Below are 23,072 nucleotides of genomic sequence, written 5' to 3'. Positions count from 1 at the left end.
ACAATGAGATACCATCTCACACCATTTAGAATGGCAGTCATTAAAAAGTCAGGAAACAACAGGGGCTGGAGAGAATGTGGAGAAATAGGAACACTTTTACACTGTTGGGACTGTAAACTAGTTCAACCATTGTGGAAGTCAGTGTGGAAGTCAGGGATCTAGAACTAGAAATACCATTTGACCCAGCCATCCCATTACTGGGTATATACCCAAAGGACTATAAATCATGCTGCTATAAAGACACATGCGCACGTGTGTTTATTGCGGCACTATTCACAATAGCAAAGACTTGGAACCAACCCAAATGTCCAACAATGATAGACTGGATTAAGAAAATGTGGCACATATACACCATGGAATACTATGCAGCCATAAAAAATGATGAGTTCATGTCCTTTGTAGGGACATGGATGAAATTGGAAATCATCATTCTCAGTAAACTATCGCAAGAACAAAAAACCAAACATCGCACATTCTCACTCATAGGTGGGAACTGAACAATGAGAACACATGGACACAGGAAGGGAAACATGACACTCTGGGGACTGTTGTGGGGTGGGGGGAGTGGGGAGGGATAGCTTTAGGAGATATACTTAATGCTAAATGACGAGTTAATGGGTGCAGCACACCAGCATGGCACATGTATACATATGTAACTAACCTGCACATTGTGCACATGTACCCTAAAACTTAAAGTATAATAATAATAAAATAAAAAAATAAAAAATAAAATAAAAAAAAGAAATGGACATAAGAATATATGACATGAAATCATAATATTAGTCAGTGGTCAAATATAAATCCAGTTATTTACATCATAGTTATATATCACTTTTAATGTCACTTTGTAGGGAACTGTTGACTGTAAAACTAGGGTGCAGATTCTAGTATCACAAATGTATAAGGAAACTTGAGTTATTATCTCGCTCTATGCCCTGATTGTGATGATCTGGAGTAGCAATCGATTTTCTTCTTGACAATGTCTAGGCATTTATTCATATTACATACTCTCCTTCAGCCAATTCTTGAGTTTTATCAACTGATTTTTTATGGAATTATGTTCTATGTCCAAATGAAATGCCTTTCATTAGCAGGGACTATGTTGTACTCTCTTCGTGCTTCTACAATCTTCTGTTGTTTTACGTAACAAGGCAGATACCCCTATTATGTGTGTTTATTGATTGGATCAATGGCTAAACACATGCTTTAATTTTATCCCATTGTCTCACATCTGAGCCTTTAAGGAAAACAGCATCAAGCCTCTCTCAGTCATGAAGATGATAATCAAGTCAGCCCTTAGTCTTCTCTAAGTTAAGGAACTCTAATATAACCTTTTCCTATGTAACCTAATTTTCTTTGTTAATCATTCTTACTATTTTACTTTGAATCTGCTCTAGTTTCCACACATCTTTTAAAAATTTGTCACCAATTGGACACTCTGTTCCAATGAGATCTCATTAATTGTAAATATATCAGATTGATTACTTCCTGTTGCCTGCAGATTATTCATGTGTTACCTGTTTTCCTTAGGCCTCAACTTTGTGACTGCGCTACATTGTAGGCTCTTGATAAATATTTGTTGAATGACTAAATTTGTTTACAATTTGGTGATATTAATCTTTCTTTTTGGGAAAAGTGTACCAAGATGTGTTCCTATCTGGCCCAATATCACTTATGTTAGTAAAAACAGCTGTTTCTGTTTTTACTCAAAGAACAGAGCAAACATCCAATTGACAGCCATAGGCTGTCAGAATTGCACTTACCCTCTGACCAGGAAGGTACAGAAGTGCCAGACTTACCTGCCTGATGCTGTCCTCGTGATGCCGTCCTAGAAAGAGCCTCATGTGGTTGGATTTCTGGCAGGCCTATCATAGCAATCCTATAGATATAATCAGGCACACCCTGACACCTTTGTGACATATTATAGCATCATATTATGTTTTTGGCAAGGGTTTTTTTTTTTTAGTTTTTTTGTTTACTGAAAAGTAGGAATTGTGTTTTAGTCACCTTGTGTCTTGCACATAGTAGGCACTCAAGTACTTGTTGAACTAGAGGCTGAATAAATGGAATTTTCATCTTATGATAGTTCAATGAAGATGGCCTGTTTAATTTTAATAATAGCAAGCAATAAATATTTTCCCATTGATAAGCTGAGATTTTTATGCTATTAGTAGAGCAAATTTGTCAAATGTTATTGTTTCAGCATTCCTGGGTTCTATTTAACTCAGAGTCTGTCTTTATACAAAGCAGACGTTCAGTATTTTCCCAGTGTTTTCTAAACTGGGAGTTGACCCATAGGGAGATCATGGGCTATTCTCAGGAAGCCACAGAGACGCAGCCCCTGTGCTCTGGATAGCTGCTTGGGGAAAAGGCAGTGAACTATGGGTGACCTGGCATTCACCACCTACTCCCTCCCCTTGGGCACTTCCTCCTTTCAGATTTGATGTGATAGTGAGGGGGAGACCAGAAATACCTCAGAATTTGTAAGATGAAATGTGAACTTATTTTGTGTGGACAGTAGATGTGAGTCATGGAAAACCCAAGGGACTTCACAGGATAAAAAACTTTAAGAAGTCCTGAGGTAACCTCAGGCTGATGCTAATTGAATTCCCTTGACAAGGAATCTTAAATGAAGTAGAGCAGTTACTGTTTTGAAATGAGCGCAAGGAAAACAATTTTCCCAGGGCGTTTCATTGGAGATGAAAAGGTCACTCAGATTTTGCAGTTACCAGTCATGTGCAAATCAGAGCTTGGATTAAGTGAGGATTCAATCCAAGGGATTTGGAATTGGAAGTCTTGGATTTGTCCTGCTAATTTTATTATTCTTATTAGTTGAAAATAGTGTGATTTCCTTTTACCATCAAAGCTTGAAATGTGTCAAGTAAAATATCAAAATGTCTGTTATCTTTAGAAGGGGTTCAGGATAAATTGACAGTCTTAACAGTTGGCATTAGGTTTGATTTATGTTTGTTGTATCTCAAGGTGCAGATATTTACTTTTCTTTGTATTTTAAGCATCTCACAGAACAACCTCCGATTCATGATTTCATCATCCCCATAGATAGTAGTTTCTTGGGACATTTCCAGTTTAAGCCAATTTCCTGGGGAAATTCTTAGTAGCCACCTGTTCTAAAAAATGTCCTAGAAAGAATGCAGTTTACTTCTTTTCTGAACTCTAGACTGGTAAGTCTTTTAGATACCTCAACCTTGAAATAACAGACACTTTACTTTCAATATGCCCAATATTGAACTAATTGTATCCTTAGCACTCCTTTCTTTCCTACATTCCTACCCTCCCTCAACACCTCCGTCTCCTGTGATCTTTACATGTAGGCTTTTTTTCCAATGAAGTTCATGGACCTTTACCCTGCTTGAAGGGGTTACCCATAAACTTTCTAGGTGCTCCCCCTCATTCATGGAAGATTCTGGGTGGATTCTGGCTCCCAGTCTCTTTCCCCCAAGTCCACCATTTATATGAATTGCTTCAGTATCTATGTAGATGACTGTGACAAACTTCATTGATCGCCTACCCAGAAGCCACCCAGTTGTTCCTTTTTCTTCCCATACAATAAACCCTGCTTTTTTTCATGTAGAAACATGTTCAGCCCCAGGAAATGAATGATGATTAGTTCAACTGGTGGTTCTCATTCCTGGTTACCTATTAGAATCTTCTTAAGAGTTAAAGAAAAGAAAAATACCACTACTAGGAACCACCTGAAAGAGTCTGCCATGATTGGAGTGAGATAGGGCACAGATGTTAATGTTTTCTAATTTGTTAGTTACTTTGCTGATAATTCTAATATGCAACCAGGCATGACAACCCTGGCTCCAAACCCACCATGGCAAACCTCAGTACACTTTGTGATTGGTCCAAGGCTATGCATGCAAAACAATTTGAGAATTTCTACCAAGGCTTTCTGGGAAAACTTTTTTTTCATGATAAAGAATTTCATAAGAAAATATCTGTTTTGCCCTTTCCATTTCTTCTGTCTTGGTTGCTGTCCTAAGAGGATGCTTGTGGCTATTGTAGCTATCTGGAAACTCTGAAGTGGTAAATCAATCTGATAAAGATGGCAGAATGGGAGAGGGTAAAAATCCAGGGTCTCTGAGGTCATTGTTCAATCTGTGAACCAACTGGGCCTGCCTACCTCTAGACTTTAGGTGAGATAAGCAGTAGTCTTACATTAAGGCCACTGTTTGTCAAATCTTATGTGTTTTGCTAAAAGTACATTGAAGATAGATTGCCCCATCCAACCTCCTACATCAAGGGTAAACAAACTCTTTCTGTACGGGCCAGATGGTAAGTATTTGGGGCTTTGTGGGCCATATAGTTTCTGTTAGATCTACTCAGTGCTGCCATTGTAGTGCAAAAGCAGCCACAGACAATATGTAAACAATTGAATGTGGCTGTTTTCCAATAAAGTGTTATTTACACAACCAGATTTTACCGGTGGGTTATAGTTTGGTGAATCATGTCCTAGATCATCATTAAGAAGTGGCATGGTGGCCGGGCGCGGTGGCTCACGCCTGTAATCCCAGCACTTGGGGAGGCCGAGGCGGGTGGATCATGAGGTCAGGAGATCGAGACCATCCTGGCTAACAAGGTGAAACCCCATCTCTACTAAAAATACAAAAAAATTAGCCGGGCGCGGTGGCGGGCGCCTGTAGTCCCAGCTACTCGGGAGGCTGAGGCAGGAGAATGGCGTGAACCCGGGAAGCGGAGCTTGCAGTGAGCCGAGATTGCGCCACTGCAGTCTGCAGTCCGGCCTGGGTGACAGAGCGAGACTCCGTCTCAAAAAAAAAAAAAAAAAAAAAAAAAAGAAGTGGCATGGTATCAGCTTTTGCAGGGTTAACTACATCTTTTATTTTTAAATATTTTCCTTTTTTGAGACAGAGTCTTGCTCTGTTGCCCAGGGTGGAGTGCAGTGGCAAGGTCTTGGCTCACTGAAACCTCTGCCTCCCAGGCTCAAGTAATTCTTGTGCCTCAGCCTCCCAAGTAGCTGGGACTACAGGCACGTGCCACCACACCTAGCTAATTTTTTTATTTTTTGTAGAGACAGGGTTTGGCCATATTGACCAGGCTGCCCTCAAACTCTTGATCTCAAGCAATTTGGCTGCCTTGGCCTCCCAAAGTGCTGGGACTGCAGGCGTGATCCACCGTGCCTGGCCCTACATCTTTTACATTTTGAAAGTAAGAGATTAACTTTCTCTTGTGGGGCAATGCAGGACACTACTGGAGAATTGGGAATTTAGTACAGGAGAGGCAAACAGAAGTGTGTTACCTAGACTAAAAGGGTAAGAGAGAATTATGAGGAGGCAAGAAACTTACACAGGGTCCCCTTAGAGGTTTTAGATGGTCCTTAGTAATTTTAGAGATTTTTATCATAAGAACAGAGCAGTGGGCATTGCCTCCATCATCGCAAACTTTATGAGATTTCCTGAAGCAACAAAATCTATTTTGACTCAGACCTTCGATGTTTGTTATTTGAAGAGAGAAATATTTACTGACATTTATAAATGATGGTGGGAGGACAAAAGGGCTAGATGGGATTCCAATTTATCAGACTGAACATCTGGGAGTTTCCTACTGAATGGACAGGTTTTTCCTCCTGCAGCAGTCTTATTTAATGGGACATAAAATCTGGTCTTTGACACCAGCTAGCTTTTACCCACCAATTCTTGTATATTTTGGCGACCGCCTAAAAGGTGCTATCTGACTTGCACAAAGAACTTTCACTCGGATCTGATGGAGGCAATCAGTTCTGCATTGTGGAATTTTCCCTCTGAGGTTTCTAGCAAGACAGTGAGACTCATTAGGCCTCTTAGAGGAAGAAAAGGAGCCCACTCTTCAGCTCCATAAGGCCCCTGCAATTGTCCAAATAAATTGAGTATGATTGCTTTTCTTCCCTATTTCACCTTTAGCTACCTTTTCCCATTTACATTTGAATTTGTTTGTATAAAAATTATGGAAGCATAGTTGCTACCTTTAGGGAGGGGTAATAGGAGCCTTGGGTAGGAGGTCAGGGAGACGTGTAGTTTGTTAGTATTCTTGTATAATATTTGAAATTTTCCATTTGCATATATTACTTTATAAGAAAAGTTGACATTTACCTGTATTTTAAAAATTGTTGGATGAGTGCATAACAGGTAGCCTTAGTAGATGAAAGTGGTAAGAGAAGGGTGTACTGTGTAATTCATTTAGGTCTTTATGTATACAACTATGTGTACTTACAAAGTACAACTATGTATACTTATGTAGTTGTATACATATTGTCCCCCAGCAGGGCTCAAAACCTAAAGTTAGCCAATGCCTATGAATATTTGCCAAAGAATGCGTATATAGCTGCCTTGCCTATTCACACAAGCGAAAGCTTGAACACTGATAAAACTACGTAACACAGGTCTGTGAAGTTTATCTATTGAGAATTAATAGCTCGGTAAATGTTACACTGGTTATGTCCATCCCAGTATTTGTTAGGACCATGGCCGCTGGGCCCTAGATAGACATTTGCAGTATGACAAATGTCTGCCTCCACCTGTCCATAGTCGACTGAGCTAGACTAAGCCAAGTAGCAGTAGGAGCTGATGGTGCAGTTGAGGAGAAGATAAAATTATACATGCATAAATGTCATGAGAAAGAATAGGAGCTGTGGGGGGTTATGAACAAATAGAAGTTATAAAGAAAGAAGCAGTAAGTAAGTAGAGGTATTAATGTAGAAAAATGCTACTAGGTAGATGTTGAGGAAACAGCTTATTATTATTACAGGAGAATTAAGAAGCTATAACAACAGAAACAGGAAATGTAGAGAGTAATTGATAGTATATCCTTTAATAGTATGGCCATTAAAGAGAAGATGTGGAAATTTTGCTGTTGAAGTCCCCAGTGCAACTTTTGTATTTGTGGGGTTTTTTTTTTTTTTTTCTGTTTGTGGATTCCTAGGAAGTCTCTGTTTTTGTATCTTTTTATAGTTATCCCCCTTACCTTGACTTAGCCTGAGTGACTCTGTGTTTTTTTCCAAAAACCTAATTCAGACCAAGTGAAAATTCCTGCTCTAGACCTCAGTCATTTTCTCCCAAATAGAAGATCTCTTTAGCTAGGGAGGCTAGGTTGGCATTATTCTTAATGGCTATGTCATGAATCTTAAGTTTCATGTTAATAGGGAATTTATAAAACTCCAAAGAATGTTTCAAGATCTACAAGTAAAAAAGTGCAAATGATATGCAGAGACTGAATATAAAAGAGAGAGGAATGTGTATGTGAGAGGGAGGGGTAGCTGAGTAGAGGAGAAGAGAAAAATTGTGAAATAGATTTCCTCTGTTCATTTCTCTTCCTACCCTCTCCAGGCACACATCTTGCACCCATTTCTTTCTTTCTTTCTTTTTTTTATTATACTTGAAGTTCTAGGGTACATGTGCACAACGTGCAGGTTTGTTACATATGTATACTTGTGCCATGTTTGTGTGCTGCACCCATTAACTCGTCATTTACATTAGGTATATCTCCTAATGCTATCCCTCGCCCATCCCCCCACCCCACAACAGTCCCCGGAGTGTGATGTTCCCCTTCCTGTGTCCATGTGTTCTCATTGTTCAATTCCCATCTATGAGTGATAACATGTGGTGTTTGGTTTTTTGTCCTTGTGATAGTTTGCTGAGAATGATGGTTTCCAGCTTCATCCATGTCCCTGCAAAGGACATGAACTCATCCTTTTTTATGGCTGCATGGTATTCCATGGTGTATATGTGCCACATTTTCTTAATCCAGTCCATCACTGATGGACATTTGGGTTGGTTCCAAGTCTTTGCTATTGTGAATAGTGCCACAATAAACATACGTGTGCATGTGTCTTTATAGCAACATGATTTATAATCCTTTGGGAATATACCCAGTAATGGGACTTGCATCCTCTTTCTACAATTCTTGGCTTCCCCAACCAATTTTACTTGAATTGCCATTGTTATAACCTATTTTTCTTCTTCCACACTTTATATTATTCTAGGGTTGAGATACCTACAGAGACCTGAAAGACATTGCAAATTAATGAAGCAGTAGGGGATAGGCTTTTTTGCTTGTTGAACGTATAGGATATTTCTCATTTCCAAAAAATGTATGTTCTGTTTAGTCAAGTCAGGTTAACTGCGGTAACAAACTACCCTCACATCTGAGTGGCTTAACATAATATATTCCTTTTCCATGTTACACAGCAGAGTAGATTTGGGGCTGTGCTCCATGCTGTCATCCAGCGATCCAGCTTACTTCCAGTTTGAAGCTCTATGACTCCCTAATCCTCCACGGAATCTTTTGCATTTGGATAAAGGAGAAGTTATGAAGAAGGTACCTCCATTTTTAACTCTTTCAACCTATGTGATCCTGCCGCTTGATCACATTCTGTTGTTCTAGATTCCAAAGGGCTGAGGAACGTAGAACCCATGAAGAAGAAAAGGACACAGATGCTGGTGAACACGAGAAATCTCTACCATATGTAGTCCTCTGAATTAGCAGGGAGGTGGCAGACACTTCTCTTTGCTTACTCAAGAGGAAACAAAAGCTTCTAAAGAGCAAGAGCCCTTCCTCTTCTTTAATGTTGCTGGATCCTTGAACCTGCCTCCCACAACTGAGACTATAAAAATGCCAGACACGTTTCTTTCCTAGCATCCCTTTCAGCTACAGACAGCCCTAAAACACACTTCCAGTGAGACATAGGTAAAATATGACTGATTTCTTGCCTGATATAATGAAAAAAGTGCAAAAGCAGTGGTATTTTCCTATTCCTTCCTTCTTTCCTCAGTTTGGGTACAGTTGAGGGAGTGCAGCTGTCTTGCAATCACTGGGCAACAGGCTGGAGGATGAAGCCAATGTGTACAAGAGGGTAGGGTGAAAGAAACAGCCTGGGTCCTCGATAACATTATTGAGCTACTGAACAACTCATAGGCCTGTTCAGCTTTGGGCTTTCCTATTCTGGGAGAAAAAAATAAAACAACCCTTTTATATAGGCTTCTCTCTGTTTGGGTATTCTGCTAGTTGCATTCCTAAACATCCTAACTGGTACACTCATAGCAGGTTCAGTGGAGTGATGAGGATGGGAAGTGACGGCTGTCATTGGAGACTGATTAAACTGAATTCAAAGTAGAGAAACAATGGCCATAAGAAGGCTGGCTGTGATGGGAGGTAGGGAAAAAGGAGATTCAGCTTAGAACTTTTTTCTATAGGACAGTGTATGTGGGGATTAAGGGTACAGACTCTGGATTCAGAAAGACAGTGGCTCAGGTTCTAATGCTATCATTTATTAGTTATGAACAAGTTGCTTAATCTCACTTAGGCTCTTTTTCCTTGTGTGTAAAATGAAGAATAAAGCAGAGCATATCAAAGAATTGTTGCAAGGGCTAAGTAAAGTCACATAGGCTAAGCTCTTAGCACAGTGCCTAGCAAGTGTTTAATACATGTTAGCTATGATTTAGGTCATCACTGATCTCTAGCCTTTTATATCTACTAATGCATATCTCCCCCTGGATTGCCCCATACATACCTCAAACTTCTAGAGTCTGCCCTTTCCCTCCCTCCCACCATATGCTCTTCATTTCTGCGAATTAGGCCAATGTCTTGGGGTAGCAGAAGGACATGTGGTGTGCTGTATGAAACTAGATGTTGGGGCTTGGGCAGATTTGATTCATGGAGCATGCTATGAGCTGTCTGGTTATCCAAGGAGCCCAATAAAAGCTGATCTCATCCTACTGATTGAGTTTGCTGACACTCTCATCATTTCCTTGTACAGTTTTTATGGTTCAGAATGACTGTTGCCAGCATCTAGAAGGAATTACTTTTCCAGGCAGTGCAATCATGCTATTTATCAAAAGAAACATTGGACAATCAGAATGGGCTGCAGAGCTGTGTCCTGAGCTGTCTGGCCAACTCCCGGCAAGAAGCTTCTTTGTCCTTTAAAGACTGAACTTTATCCTCAAGCAGTAACAGGACTGGAATGAAAGGAGTTTGGAATTATTCTGCTTTGGTATGTGAAGAATAACTTACTGTGTATGCATATGAGGGGACATTTTTAAAGGAAGAAAACAATTATAGGATGTTTGTCTCTGCCTCACTGACCTCTCCATTTTAACCTTGTTCATTTTGCTTGAAGGATGTTTTGACTCTGTTTATGAATACAAATATTTTATGTAATTCGTTCATTTATTCAATATTTGCTTATTGTCTTCTCTGGCCTCAGCACTGCTGAAGGTACTGGGATACAGTGCCACATGAGTCAGAGGAGGTTCCTGCTTCCAAGGAGGCTGAGCCTCAGCTTTTGGGGTACATGGTGTAACAGACCTGGGATGAAGGGATTGGATATGGCAAAGAGGAATGTTCCAGGAAACAAACATCAAAATTGTTTTAAGGGGAATGTTGGCTGTAGAACCTATACCTCTTAAAATGTCAGAGATGCCATAGAACAAATATTAGTTTTTCTATCATGCTTCTACCTATAGTTTTTCACTACAGCATTGAAATATGCAGAGCTCCTATTTAAGTCAAAAGCTATTGTATAATCTTTTCTGAATGAAGGCAGTAATTACTCCTTATAATATGGTTTATTATAAGAAACTGATAAAATGTTAGATCTCAAAACAATATGCACAATAAAATCCTGATACAACATAGTTAATCTATACTTTGGGGGTTTCTTTCAATTATCATTATAAAAAGGTTTCACTCTAACAAGAAGAGCAGATTAATTTGTAAAAGAATTAGATATGCTGGTTTAGTTCAATAAAGAAAAACAAGCAGGAGGAAGAAATGTGGATATAGTGAGACACTGACAAAGAATACAAAGCATCAGTGAGTCCTTAAGATAAATCTACTTCAGCATTTTGTTCTAATAATTGCAGGTGAAATTAACTATTTTTGGGGAAGAATAACAGGAATGAATCAATTCTATTTCAGGTTGACATTTTGATGTCAGGTTTTAAGCATTTGTAATTTCAAATTGAGGAGGTTAAGAAATGGAAAATATGGCATTTGAAAATTTTAATGAATATCTATGTTTATGGATACTGTTTTTCTATGTAATATGTATGCATTTTTAGTATAACCATTTTCTTTGTCAAACACCTTTTTTAGAACCACACCCCTTTCTAAAGTACCCTACATCCCTTGAGTTAATCTCTGGGCTTCTCAAAAGAGTCTTCATGGAAATAAACTGATCCTATACCCTGGCCAGTCAGTGTCCTTCTCATTTTAGAAATGAGAACAATGCCCATTCTCCTCCTCTCTGAATTGCTGGAGCTGTGAGTTGTGGCACTCAGGGGGGTCAGTGCTCACGTTTTCTACCATGTGTCTTGTCTGCAGAGCCGAAGAGAAGATGAAACACGAACCCAGAGGAGCAGGATGACAGACAGAGTCCCTTGTTCCAAATGTTTCCAGGTTCACTGCCAGATTTCTGTTCTGAATTGTGTAAGACAAACTGCTATCCTGATTTGCTCGTGTTTGTTAAGCTAGTTCAAGTTGGGTTTCCATCACATGCAACCAAGTGATTCCTGAACTGGTGCAGTCATTCCCACCATTGCCCCGTGAAAGCCTTTCCATTAATTCAGGCTTTTCAGCCTATTTCCTAAACCCCATTTGTGTGCCTTCCTCTGCATCTCTGCATTGTAACTGCCATCACTTCATTCCCTGTGGAAGTGCAATCCTTACTTAGCATCCATCCCAAGTCCCTCTACCATTGTACACCTCTGGCCAACCACCTCAGCCCTCAGCATTCCCTCCATTCTTGGAACTCACGTGGTCTTTGTTCTCAGTATGTGATCACTGGCTCTTTCCTTTTCTCCAAACTCCTTGAGTACTGAGACGGTATGTCTTAGCTTTCTGTCTCTGCAGTGCCTTAAACATTGTAGCTACTCAGTTTTGATAAATATGATGTTGCCAACTATCATTTTATAGGTATGTAAGAATCTTGAAAGTACAATGGGAAATGAACTTAAATATAATAACTCATTTTAGCTGAGTAAGAATTTTAGAATTAGGTTAAATTGAACAGCAGTAGTTCTTATAGTGATGAGTTTTATAGGAAGATGCTACTGTATTGTACACATACACCCTGTTTGTCAACGAGGATGTATATTGGAACATAGGATTGCTAACTTAATTAATGTCATACAAGGTTGTTATAGCACAGCTGTCAAGACCAAGCATTCCTGGCATTTTATGTTGATGTTGAATACCTTTTCTATTTTCTTCAACTGACTTGAAATTATGTCATGCTCCTGGCCCAGTCGTCTTCTAGGCAGGTCAATTGTCCCATGCTACAGATATGTTTATGATGCGTTCTAATGTCACCGTGCTTCCACCAATCCCTGAAAGAAATTGTCTTTTGAGCTTTACCCTGTTTCCACATCTATTTCTTTGAGGGTAACACCAGCTGCCTTACAACTTAAATAAATAATACAGCATGATATTTTCCTTGCATTCTTGGATGCAAGCCCACCTCTATTAATTCCAAACATTTTGTTAGCTGTTAAAGTGCTTGACCAGACCCAGAATAATTGGCAGAAATAAAGACTGAGGAACACGGACACTATACAGAACACACTCACTGTAGAAAGGGAAAACACAGTCACGGTAGGAAGGCAAAATGAGAGAACTCAGCAGTGAGCATTTTTTAGCTTGTGTATAAACTCTTGCAGTCAAGTGCTTATTGTAGCAGTCAGAGCACAGAGAAAATGTTCAGTATTGGAGAACTGAAATAGAGTGTGTATGTGTACTGATATATGTGTACATACTTTGGGGAAATATTTCCAAAACAAAATGCTTTACAACAAATTAGGGGTAGATAAAACAGCATTAAACCAGGTAACTTGGACAGAAAAAGAAGTTAACTGTAAACATATATTCAATGTTTCTAAATATGCCTTGTTTGCTGAACACAAATGGACTCAAAATGTAGTGCTTTGATTTAGGCTTGTGAATAGAAATTGAAGGAGAGAGATCCTTAAATGTAAAAAACTAAATCACAAAAATAACAGACCATAAGTCAGAATACCAAGGTAGTCATAAGCTTGAGCTGGAATGATGATTATTCTAGTTAGCAAAAACAGCAAGGTAGAGGAGAGACTATGATAAGCAGAATATAGGAACACAGAAATTTCAGAAAAGTTTGGGTCACAGGGCTTGGCAGGCTGGTGAAGGTCACCAGACTAAATATTTTCGCAGGATGCAAGACTTTTGACTGGAAAATAAACTCTGTTCTGGTGAAAATTCTGACAAGCCTCCATTCTACTCAAATGACTGGCATCTGTATTGTTTAAAAATAGTTTTGTATGGCTCAGGAAATGTGGGAGAAATACTTTTTTCTCAAAAAAGCTAATACCTGCAAGTGTTGCGTGTGGATAAGAGATAGCTCAGCATCACAGATCCATTAGGTTTCATCTTAATAAGAAAAACAAATTACAACCATTTTTTTTTTAAAAGGGGGTAGCAAATTTGCTATGCAGGGAAAATTATAAATTAAGATTTCAGCTGCTGGCACTGCAAGATCAGAAGAAATGCTGAGGGCTATATTTTTGAGAAATGAGTACAGTAAAATACAGAGGAAAGAAGTCCCTCTTCCTGTTGTGCTCCTAAGATGACAGCATAAATGGTCACATCTACTTAATTCCCAGGAACTGCATCACTTCTCTTTCCAGCAGGGCCAGTTTCATGGGTGCACAACCTGGTGCAGCTACACACAACCCTTCTCTCAGAAGGGGCCCCGTACTTGATTTAGTGCTCTCCTGTTGCTCTCTTGAATTCTTCATAATTTTAGTTTTGTGCTTATGGAATAAGGAACATCTGCATGAGCAGAGGAGCCCCTGAAGGTGCAGCCCACATGGGTTCAAGCTGGCAGGCACCCTAGCAGCAGGCAGTGGCACACAATGAGCATCTGACCTGGCAAGCACATGCCTTAGGCAGTCTGGGATCCCTTGGCTCCCCTAGTGGGGTGAGGTGCAGCTGGGGGTCAAGACTCGGGTCTAGATTGGTGGTGATGACAGCAGTATCCCTGGCCCTGAAAAAGAGGTGGGTATGGCGTGGGGGCAGCACTGGGACCTGGACTGTGACCCCAGTTTGCAGTCCATCTTGGGAGCCCATCCCTTTGACTTGTGCACAAATATTAATTCTCTGCTTTGAGCTCTGACATAGGAACTGCTGCCACTAAGGCAGTAAATGTTGTCAGTAAATAATTAAAAAATAAAATCATATGAATGGACATTGCAATTAAAGCAGATCAGTGAGCCATTATGATTCTTCAAAGAGTTTAGAATCTTTAGGTTTGAAAACCACTGCAATCCTGAAAAACAAATATCCACAGACGTAGAAATATGATAGTTCTATTTTTAATTTTAATTTTTAACTTTTTGAGGATGCTACGTACTGTTTTTCATAATGACTGTACCAACCACATTCAACATCAACAGTATGCAGTGGTTCCCTTTACACTACATTCTCATCCATACTTGTTATTTTTTTCCTTTTCTATTAAAACCATTCTAACAGGTGTGAGGTCATATCTCATTGTAGCTTTAATTTGCTATTTCCTGATGATCAGTGATGCTGATCATTTTTTATATGCCTGCTGGCTATTTGTATGTCCACTTTTGAGAAGTGTCTATTCAGATCCTTTGCTCATTTTTAAATAGGGTTATTTGTTTTCTTGCTGTTTGAGTTTTTTATACATTTTTTATATTTAACCCCTTATCAAATATATGGTTTGCAAATGTTTTCTCCCATTCCATAGGCTGTCTCTTTATTCTGTTGATTATTTCCTTTTTTGTGCAGATGTTTTTATTTTGATATACTCCTTTTTTGTCTATTTTTGCTTTGGCTGCCCACGCTTTCAGGGTCACATTAAAAAAAATCATTGTCCAGTCCCATGTGAAGGAGCTTTTTGTTTCTTAGTGTGCTTTTCGCATCATTTTCTTCCAGTAGTTTTACAGTTTTAGGTCTTAAATGTAAGTCTTTAATCCACTTGAGTTTACTTTTGTCTATGATATGAAATAAGGGTCTAATTTCATTCTTCTACGTGTGGGTATCCAGTTTTCCCAACACTGTTTACTGAAGAGGCTGTTCTTTCCCCATTATGTATTCTTGAAATGTTTGTCAAAAATCAATTGACCATAAATGCATGGATTTATTTCTGGGCTCTCTATTCTGTTCCATTGGTCTATGTGTCTGTTTTTATGCCAGAACCATACTGAATTTGTTTACTCTAGCTTTGTAGTGTATTTGAAGTCAGGTAGTGTGATGCCTCCAGCTTCATGGTGTTTTTTTTATTTGTTTAGTTTTTTGTTTTTTGCTACAGATTGACTGGCTACTCAAGGTCTTCTGTGCTTTCATACAAATTTTAGAATTGTTTTCTCTATTTCTGTGAAAAAAATGTGATTGAGACTTTGATAGACATTACATTGAATCTGTAGGTCACTTTCAGGTATATGGATGGGGAGACATATTTACTTTAATCAGTCATTAGTGTAAAGAAGTAGATCATCAACAAATTTTATTAGGTCTGATGAGAAAAGTACTACAGTGTACATCTCTCCTCATACCAATTTTGAATCCTTTAGAGATTGTTTCTCAAAGCATAATCTATTGAATTCCTGTGTAAATAAGTAAATAATAAATATATACCCGGACTAGGGGAAGGGGAACTTGTTAAAAATGGTTTCTCCCTGTCAACATCACATCGGAACACCTAAGGATGCTGCCTTGGAATTCATATTTTTAACAAGCTCCCTAGGTAATTCTGATGCACACTAAATTTGGAAACTGCTGTCGCAAGAGAAAGGAAAGGCAGAAAAATGAAGTTTTGAGAGCTCTGGCCAGCAAGACTTCTTTTTTCTTCTTTCTTTTTTTTTTTTTTTTTTTTTTTTGAGATGGAGTCTTGCTTTGTCAACCAGGCTGGAGTGCAGTGGCATGATTTCGACTCACTGCAACCTCCGCCTCCTGGGTTCAAGTGATTCTCCTGCCTCAGCCACTGGAGTTGCTAGGCTTACAGGCGCATGCCACCATGCCCAGCTACTTTCTGTGTTTTTAGTGGAGGCGGGGTTTCACCATGTTGGCCAGGCTGGTCTCAAACTCCTGAGCTCAAGTGATCCACCCGCCTCAGCCTCCCAAAGTGCTGGGATTACGGGCATAAGCCACCACGCCCGACCCAGTAAGACTTCTTGCCATATCTAGTGCTTCAAGGAAATGCGTGATGAGGTGGTGGGGAATGGGAAATAGGCACGCTAGAGGCCTGGAAGTCCTTAGGAGCTTGAGACAGTGAATGTGTCCGTGAATCACCGATACAAAGCCAGCACAGGTAAATCCTGTAGGAACGTTGACCAAATGCCTGTAATATTGTTGAAGAGCAAAAACACTCAGACCAATGCCATCATTTTGACAGCGATGTAAGAAGAGACCTATGTATGTAAGCAGATATGTTTATTTTACTAGTTGTCTTAGACACAAAATAATTTCAAAAAAAAATTAGAACCACAAATTGTAGTTCTCAGTACCAGATTTATTTTACAATCGATTGTCAGGCTTTTACTTAATTATAGTTGAAAAATTACTCCTGGAAAATGCCTAGCAAATCCATGTTGTACACAACCTAGAAAAGAGATCTTACAGAGTATTTAGGAAGAGGAAACATTTTTAAGTTTTTACAAAGCATAAAATGGAAAGAGAATTTCCCCTATAATTCTATTATTAGATTTTGTACCAAATGAGTGTGGAAGTACAGTTCAACATGTCTAATAGAGCTTTGTTCAGAGACAGCAAGAGTTTTGCTCCACAATTCTTGAGAATGGAGCAACTTTCCTTCACTAGTCCCCACCCTTCTCAATCCACCAGTACCACATTTTTACCCAGTGACCCTCAGCTTTCTGGGATACTCAAGCTGTAGAATCTCAAGGTTTAAAATACCAAGTTATTTATTCTAATCTCCTCTCTAGGACTTAAGTCCAACCTACAGTATATGTAAAACTGCTCCATTCTAGTAATGGAGACCTTATTCTCTCTATGGCAGTTCTCATTGCTAGAAAGAAAACCCAAATTTATCTCCTCTTTTATTTTACCCATTGTACATTGAACTTTTGAGGGCTGCTTCAACATGACACCTTTTAAAAATATTTAAAGAGAACAATCAATTTACCTTCTTTCTCCAGGCTAACCATCACCAATTCCTTTCTCATTTAGGTTATAGAAGATGGGGGAACGTTTATCTTCTTTATTATGGCTACTGTATGTCTATTAATACAACCCAAGATTATATTAGCTTCTTTTCTGATTGAGAGTCACACTCAGGTTAAGCTTGCAAGTGTATGAAATCTTTATGCCTTTCCCACAAATGGTTCTGTGATGTCATTGTCTCCCTGCCTTTGTTGGGTTTTATCTGCTTTTGTTCAGTGTCCTGGTCATATAGCTTTTTATTTCCTGTTTCTCCCTTTCAGTGTATTTGCTTTCTGTCTCAGCATCTTGAAATCTGTAAATGTGATGAGCACAAGTTCAATATTTTTAACCGTGTCATTGAGCAGGCAACATTCTGTGTTCCACCATTAGAAACATTTTTAGGCTGGCAATCTTCCATTAATCAGTATTTGATCATCATCTAGTTACAGATCCTCCTAAATGTCCTGATATCTGGTTCATATTTCTCTAACTTGACCATAGATTTTCAAATTCCTTTATACTCTCTGGATGCATTGTGTCTGTAACATTTTCCTAAGTCAGTTCTTTAACTCTATCTAAAAAGAAACAAAGTTTGACCTATTTTACATCCACCTGGCTGAGGCAGTGGGTTGAGTGGTGATGAGCAGGTTGTGAAGGGCCTTGAAAACCATGCTGAGGGGTTATGACTTTGTTTTGTAGACAACAGGGGGACTTCTGCAGTTGAGCAGAGAAGCAATATAATTGCATCCAAGTGTGATATGTAGTACTGCCCAGATGCTGAAAGAAGCTGGGATCCAGACGTTCTGAGAAACTGAAGCTAGAAGTAGTGGGGCTAGGGCATGCATCACACATGACACATTAAGGAGGGAATTCTGCAGGAAAGGTCATCAGTTTTTGGCCATAGGACATTTTCCTAACTGAAATGATGGTGTTGAGACATTCCTGAAGCTCTTTCAAAATCAGATTGGCAACATGACTTCCTCCTTATACAGAGCCAAAAATCTTCCCTTTGCAACTGCCTCCTGTTTGTCCTGGTTCTCCCCTAGTAAGCAACTTTGAAAGCTTATCTAATCATCTTTCTGTATAACAACTTCTTAAATATTTTAAAACAGTGCTCATTTTTCTTTTATTCAAACTAAACATGTCCAGTTTCTGTACTAGAAATGTTATGGACTTAGCCATTATCTGAAATAGGGGAGTAATTTTCTTATGCAATAGGTTTTACTGGAAAATGTAAATCCAATTTTCATAACTTATCTTTTCTTATACCAGTAGGGTTTAATATGTAAAGAAAGTGTTTTAAACCTGAAGTACCTTTTTTTTAAGATTTTTAAAAAGGCATGAATGATATCTCCCTAATTTACTTGGTTTCTAAAGCAACATTTTCATTAAAAAAACTATACTAATTAGACCTTTTAGAAAATAAGAAAGTATAATTAATTGAAATGTTTTTGCTTGAAAAGCCTTTTTGTTTGTCTTTAATGTTGAAAATAGTTTCCTGACATAGGAAATGAAGAGAAGCCTAGTTAAATTCCTTTAATTTATTTAAATTTGTATTAGAGTGGTGCAAAAGTAATTGCACCAACCTAATAGGAGTTTCTGCTATTGTTCTGCTCATCCATGGTAGAAGCAATTTAAAAACTTTTTTACTTTTCATGAATTATTCTTTACCAAACAGCAAAAAACAACCAGGAGGCAGGTTGAACCAGGTGAAGGGAAAGAGAGGGAAAAAGATCTTCTTTTTTTTTTTAAATTAAAAAGTTTACAAGTTGGGGAAGACAGAAAAGATCACACACAAGGCTGTCACTTCACACTTGGAAGGTTGCACAGCGGCCGGGCAGAGGCGATCCTCACATCCCAGATGGGGCGGCAGCTGGGCAGAGGCGCTCCTCACTTCCCAGACAGGGCGGGGGCCGGGCAGAGGCGTTCCTCACAGAGAGGGAAGAAGATCTTCTAATGCCTTGGCTGGAGCAAAGAAGCTATGGTGATTGAAGGTAAAATCATAAAAGTGAAAAATCAATCTTGATGGACTAGCTTGGTGTCAGGATGAGGACTTTAGCTTTGCTGTGGTAGACAAAATGGAAGCCACTGCAATTCTTTAGGTGAGAGGGAATGAATTACAATGTCTGAAAAAAATTAATCAGGAAGCTGTGTAATACGAATTAAAGTGAGCCAGGAGATCATTTGCAATAAACTAGAAAGGAGTTTTTACATTTTGATTATGGCGAAGGCAATGACAAAGAAAAAAATATAAAGAAAGAATTTGTTGGACAAAGGAGAGAGAAGTTACTGTGTGAATGTTAATGGTGCATGACGGGCTCGTGCACTGAAGTTGTTGAGCTCTATCCACTAGGTCAGGGTTTCTCAATCTAGCACTGTTGGAGTATTGGGCTGGATAAGTTTTATTGTTAGGGGGCTGTCCAATGCATTGTAGGGTATTGAGTAGCAGTCTTGATCTCTACCCAATAGATGACAAAAAGTACCCCAAATGGGCATTTTGTTTGACAACAGCACAAATAAAAATGTCTTTAGACATGGCCAGATGTCTCTTGGGGGCCAGATGTCTCTTTGTTGAGAAGCACTGGCCTAGACCCTTTCTTGGGCACAGCCATTCTTCCATGCCTAACCCCTGGAGAAGCTGTGCTGGTATTCAGCATTTTCTGTTCATTGAACTACCACAACTGACTTATGATCTTGGTTCCCTTACATAGTGGACAAAAAACAGATTGGAAAAATGGAGAAAGAGGACAGCAAGCTTTTTAAAGTTTTGTTAGTTTTATTACTTGTTTAAAATAATATTAAATAAATGCTTAAGTATATAAAGTAAAAGGAATTTCTTGCCTTCATTTTCTGTTTGATAATACTTTCCTTTAAAGCCCATGTTTTCTGCTTTAATTCTCCTTTTTTCCTCCTTCTCTCATTTTTTGAATCCTGCCTTTTTACTCTGCTTTCATGTTTTTCCTGTCTTATCAAATCTATATATTTGTTATTGCAAATCATTTTTAGAAGCAGGAAAGGTAGTAATAAACAGCAGCAAGAGATCTTATTAGCTCTATATCACTTCCCCTTCTGTTAGTAGTTTCTCTTCTCAATTCTACATTTTAAAAATCCCAATACCAATAATTTCAAGTATTTATAACCTAATTTTAAAAACAAAGCATAGATTAAAAGCAGATTGATTATAATGAAGTGTTGAGTTGGAGCCAGTATCTTTTATACCTTTTAATTTCATTTTAATCAATAGATATTCTCCAGGGAACTATAACTTTCTGGTCTTTCACAATCTGCATGAATCTCTTGATAATGGCTAATTTCTTAAAGACAAATTCTTGCTGAAATTAAATTAAGATTAATTCCATGTTCTTCCCTACTCAGTTTTTAATCATCTTCTTTTCTCTTTGATAAGCTTTTCCTGAGAGATCTGAATCTTTAATATTTCTTGCCCTATTCAGGGACACAAAGTTCTGCTAGATTATAATGTAACTTGCCCTGATACAGCATCTCTGGGTGTGATCACTGACCATCATCTGTGGATCTTAGAGGGAGGCCATTCACATCACGGTTGCAGCCTGTTAACCTGGGGGCTTCAACCTGTGCTATCATTTCTTCAACTGTACATCCTCCTCATTTACTGAACTTTGATTTTTTTTTTAAAGAATAACTGGTCCTACTTAGGAGACATATCAAGCACTTGTAATATTTGGGCCTTATTTGAATCCCAATACAAACAAAATATTTAAATACATACACATTTATGAGGTATTGGAGAAATTTGAACATTGACAGTATATTTGTTGATGTTAGCAAACTGTTATTTTTAATAGATATCATGACTGTATTGTGGTTTGGTTTTAAAAAGAGTCCTTTTAAGATATATAGTGATATGTTTACAGATGAAATGACATTATAGCTGGATATGTTTCAAATGAATCTAGGGGAAGATAGGGGAGATGGGTGGGATATAGACAGAGGGAAATGGGCCATGAGTTAATTGTGGAGCTGGGCAATGGTGAGCTTATGGGATGGGGTTTATTATTTTATTATGCTCTTCTCTCTAGTGTGCATATGTTAGATATTTCATTTTTCATAATAAAAATACACATCATCATATTTAATGACAGCAAAAGTTAAGAGAAATGGGTGAAAGATACAACCTCCTGCCAATAATTTAGGTGCTCAGGGAAGGGGCCTCTCTTCAGGCTCTGAGTGTGTGTATTAAATATTTTAATTGGCTTAGATGAATTTTATTTCCCTTTCCAGTGATTCCTTTAGGTAGGGTATGTGATGCAATTCTTGCCTACGAGGTGGGAGAATGTTTGCTGGGGTCTTCAGGGAAAGGTTTTCTTATACCAAAAAAGAAACATCAGAGGAGATGGCTTCTTCTCTCTCCGGGTGTAGTCATGATTGTATATAATATCTGGAGCTGTTGCAGCTATCTCATGATTATGAGGGGCCTGGCCTGAGAGCAAAGTGAGAGAGACCCTAAGGATGGCACAGTGGAAGATGGAAATTACCAGGATCGCTGATGACACTATTGAACCACTGAGATAAACAATGTTAGATTTTCCTTACGTCTGGACTTCTTATTACATGGAATAGTAAATGTTCTTATTGTTTAAGTAATTTTAAGTTAGAATTACATGGTTTCTTTTTTTTTTTTTTTTTTTTTTTTTTTTTTTTTTTTTTTTGCTGCTGAAAGCATTCTAAGTAGACTATGTGCACCTTCCACAACCTAGAAATTGTAATCTCTACAGGTATATACCCTAAAGAAGCTCTTGTACATGTAAGCTGGAAGGCATGTTTAAGAATGTTCATAATATTTTTTATAATAGAGCCAAACTGGACACAGCCAGTTGTCTATCAACAGTAGAATAGGCTCAGCATGGTAGCTCACTCCTGTAATCCCAGGACTTTGGGAGGCTGAGGCAGGTGGATCACTTGAGGCCAGGAGTACTAGACCAGCCTGGCCAACATGGGCAAACCCCACCTCTACTAAATATACAAAAATTTTTAGCCAGGCATGGTGGCACACACCTGTAATCCTAGCTTCTCAGGTGGCTGAGGCAGGAGGATTGCTTGAACACAGGAGGCGAGGTTGCAGTGAGCCCAGATGGTGCCACTGAACTCCAGCCTGGGTGACAGAGTGAGACTCTGTCTCAAAGAAAACCCCCCCAAAACAGTGGAATACATGACTAAAATATGGTATATTTACATATATGAAATATGTGGAATATTATACAGCAATGACATGAACAAATTATAGCTCTATACATCAACTTTGTTAAATCTCAAAATATATGTTAAATGAAAGATGTCAGATAAAAAGTTTACATATGATGTGATTCTATTTAATAAGCAAAAATTAGAAAATACATTCTTGGGGAATAAGTAGTAAAACTATTAAGCAAGGGAACGGCTATTACATACATAAGAGAACGATTTACCCTAGAGGGAAGAAGGAGGTACAAAAAGGAGTGGCATGTGAAGGTTTCCCTGGGACTAACAATATTCTCATTCTTTATTTGGCTGGTGATTTCACAAGTGCTTGCATTATTATTATTAACTTTTAAAATGTATATCTGTTTAATTGCTCTTCTATGTGCACATTGGTATTACTTCAATAGAATTTTTTAAAAAGTCCTTACCAACACAGGCAGTGTTGAGTGGTAGAAAAAGAAGTGGATATGAAGTTAGAAAAAAATTAAAATCAAGATCACCACTCACATTTTTCTTGTTTTGACCATGGCACTACCAAAGGCTCAGTTTCTGTTCCTGTAAAATGAAGAATTGAACCAACTGAGTCCCTTCTTGCTGTAACTTTCTATTTTTTAATCAGTTATCAATTCATTCTGTCTTTTCTTCCTTTTTCAAGCTCACAAACTACTGGTCTTGAGTACAAA

At 38.5% G+C, this 23,072-nt stretch overlaps 1 protein-coding gene and 1 long non-coding RNA gene across 3 annotated transcripts in view; one reads left to right on the top strand and one right to left on the bottom strand.

Moving 5' to 3' along the window:
• Window positions 1–23,072, bottom strand: part of NREP-AS1 (NREP antisense RNA 1) — a 104,799-nt gene that overhangs the window by 30,591 nt on the left and 51,136 nt on the right. Inside the window, exon 3 of the long non-coding RNA NR_046678.1 lies at window positions 12,210–12,341. This is a non-coding gene — a long non-coding RNA (NREP antisense RNA 1). The remainder of the gene's footprint in view (window positions 1–12,209; window positions 12,342–23,072) is intronic.
• The window catches only part of NREP (neuronal regeneration related protein), a 248,131-nt gene continuing 234,842 nt past the window's right edge, over window positions 9,784–23,072 (top strand). The window contains exons 1-2 of one of the 2 annotated variants that reach the window (NM_001142474.2): window positions 9,784–10,006; window positions 11,338–11,412. In NM_001142474.2, the coding sequence (NP_001135946.1) occupies window positions 9,977–10,006; window positions 11,338–11,412 (105 nt within the window). In that variant the 5' untranslated portion in view covers window positions 9,784–9,976. Of the gene's footprint in view, window positions 10,007–11,337; window positions 11,443–23,072 lie in introns of both variants that reach the window. The other variant, NM_001142475.2, reaches the window with a different exon arrangement.

This window comes from Homo sapiens, chromosome 5, assembly GCF_000001405.40.
Source record: "Homo sapiens chromosome 5, GRCh38.p14 Primary Assembly".
In the NCBI taxonomy this organism is placed as follows: Eukaryota; Metazoa; Chordata; class Mammalia; order Primates; family Hominidae; genus Homo; species Homo sapiens.
The sequence above is the reverse complement of the archived record's forward strand: the minus strand, read 5'-3'. Positions and strand labels throughout refer to the sequence as shown.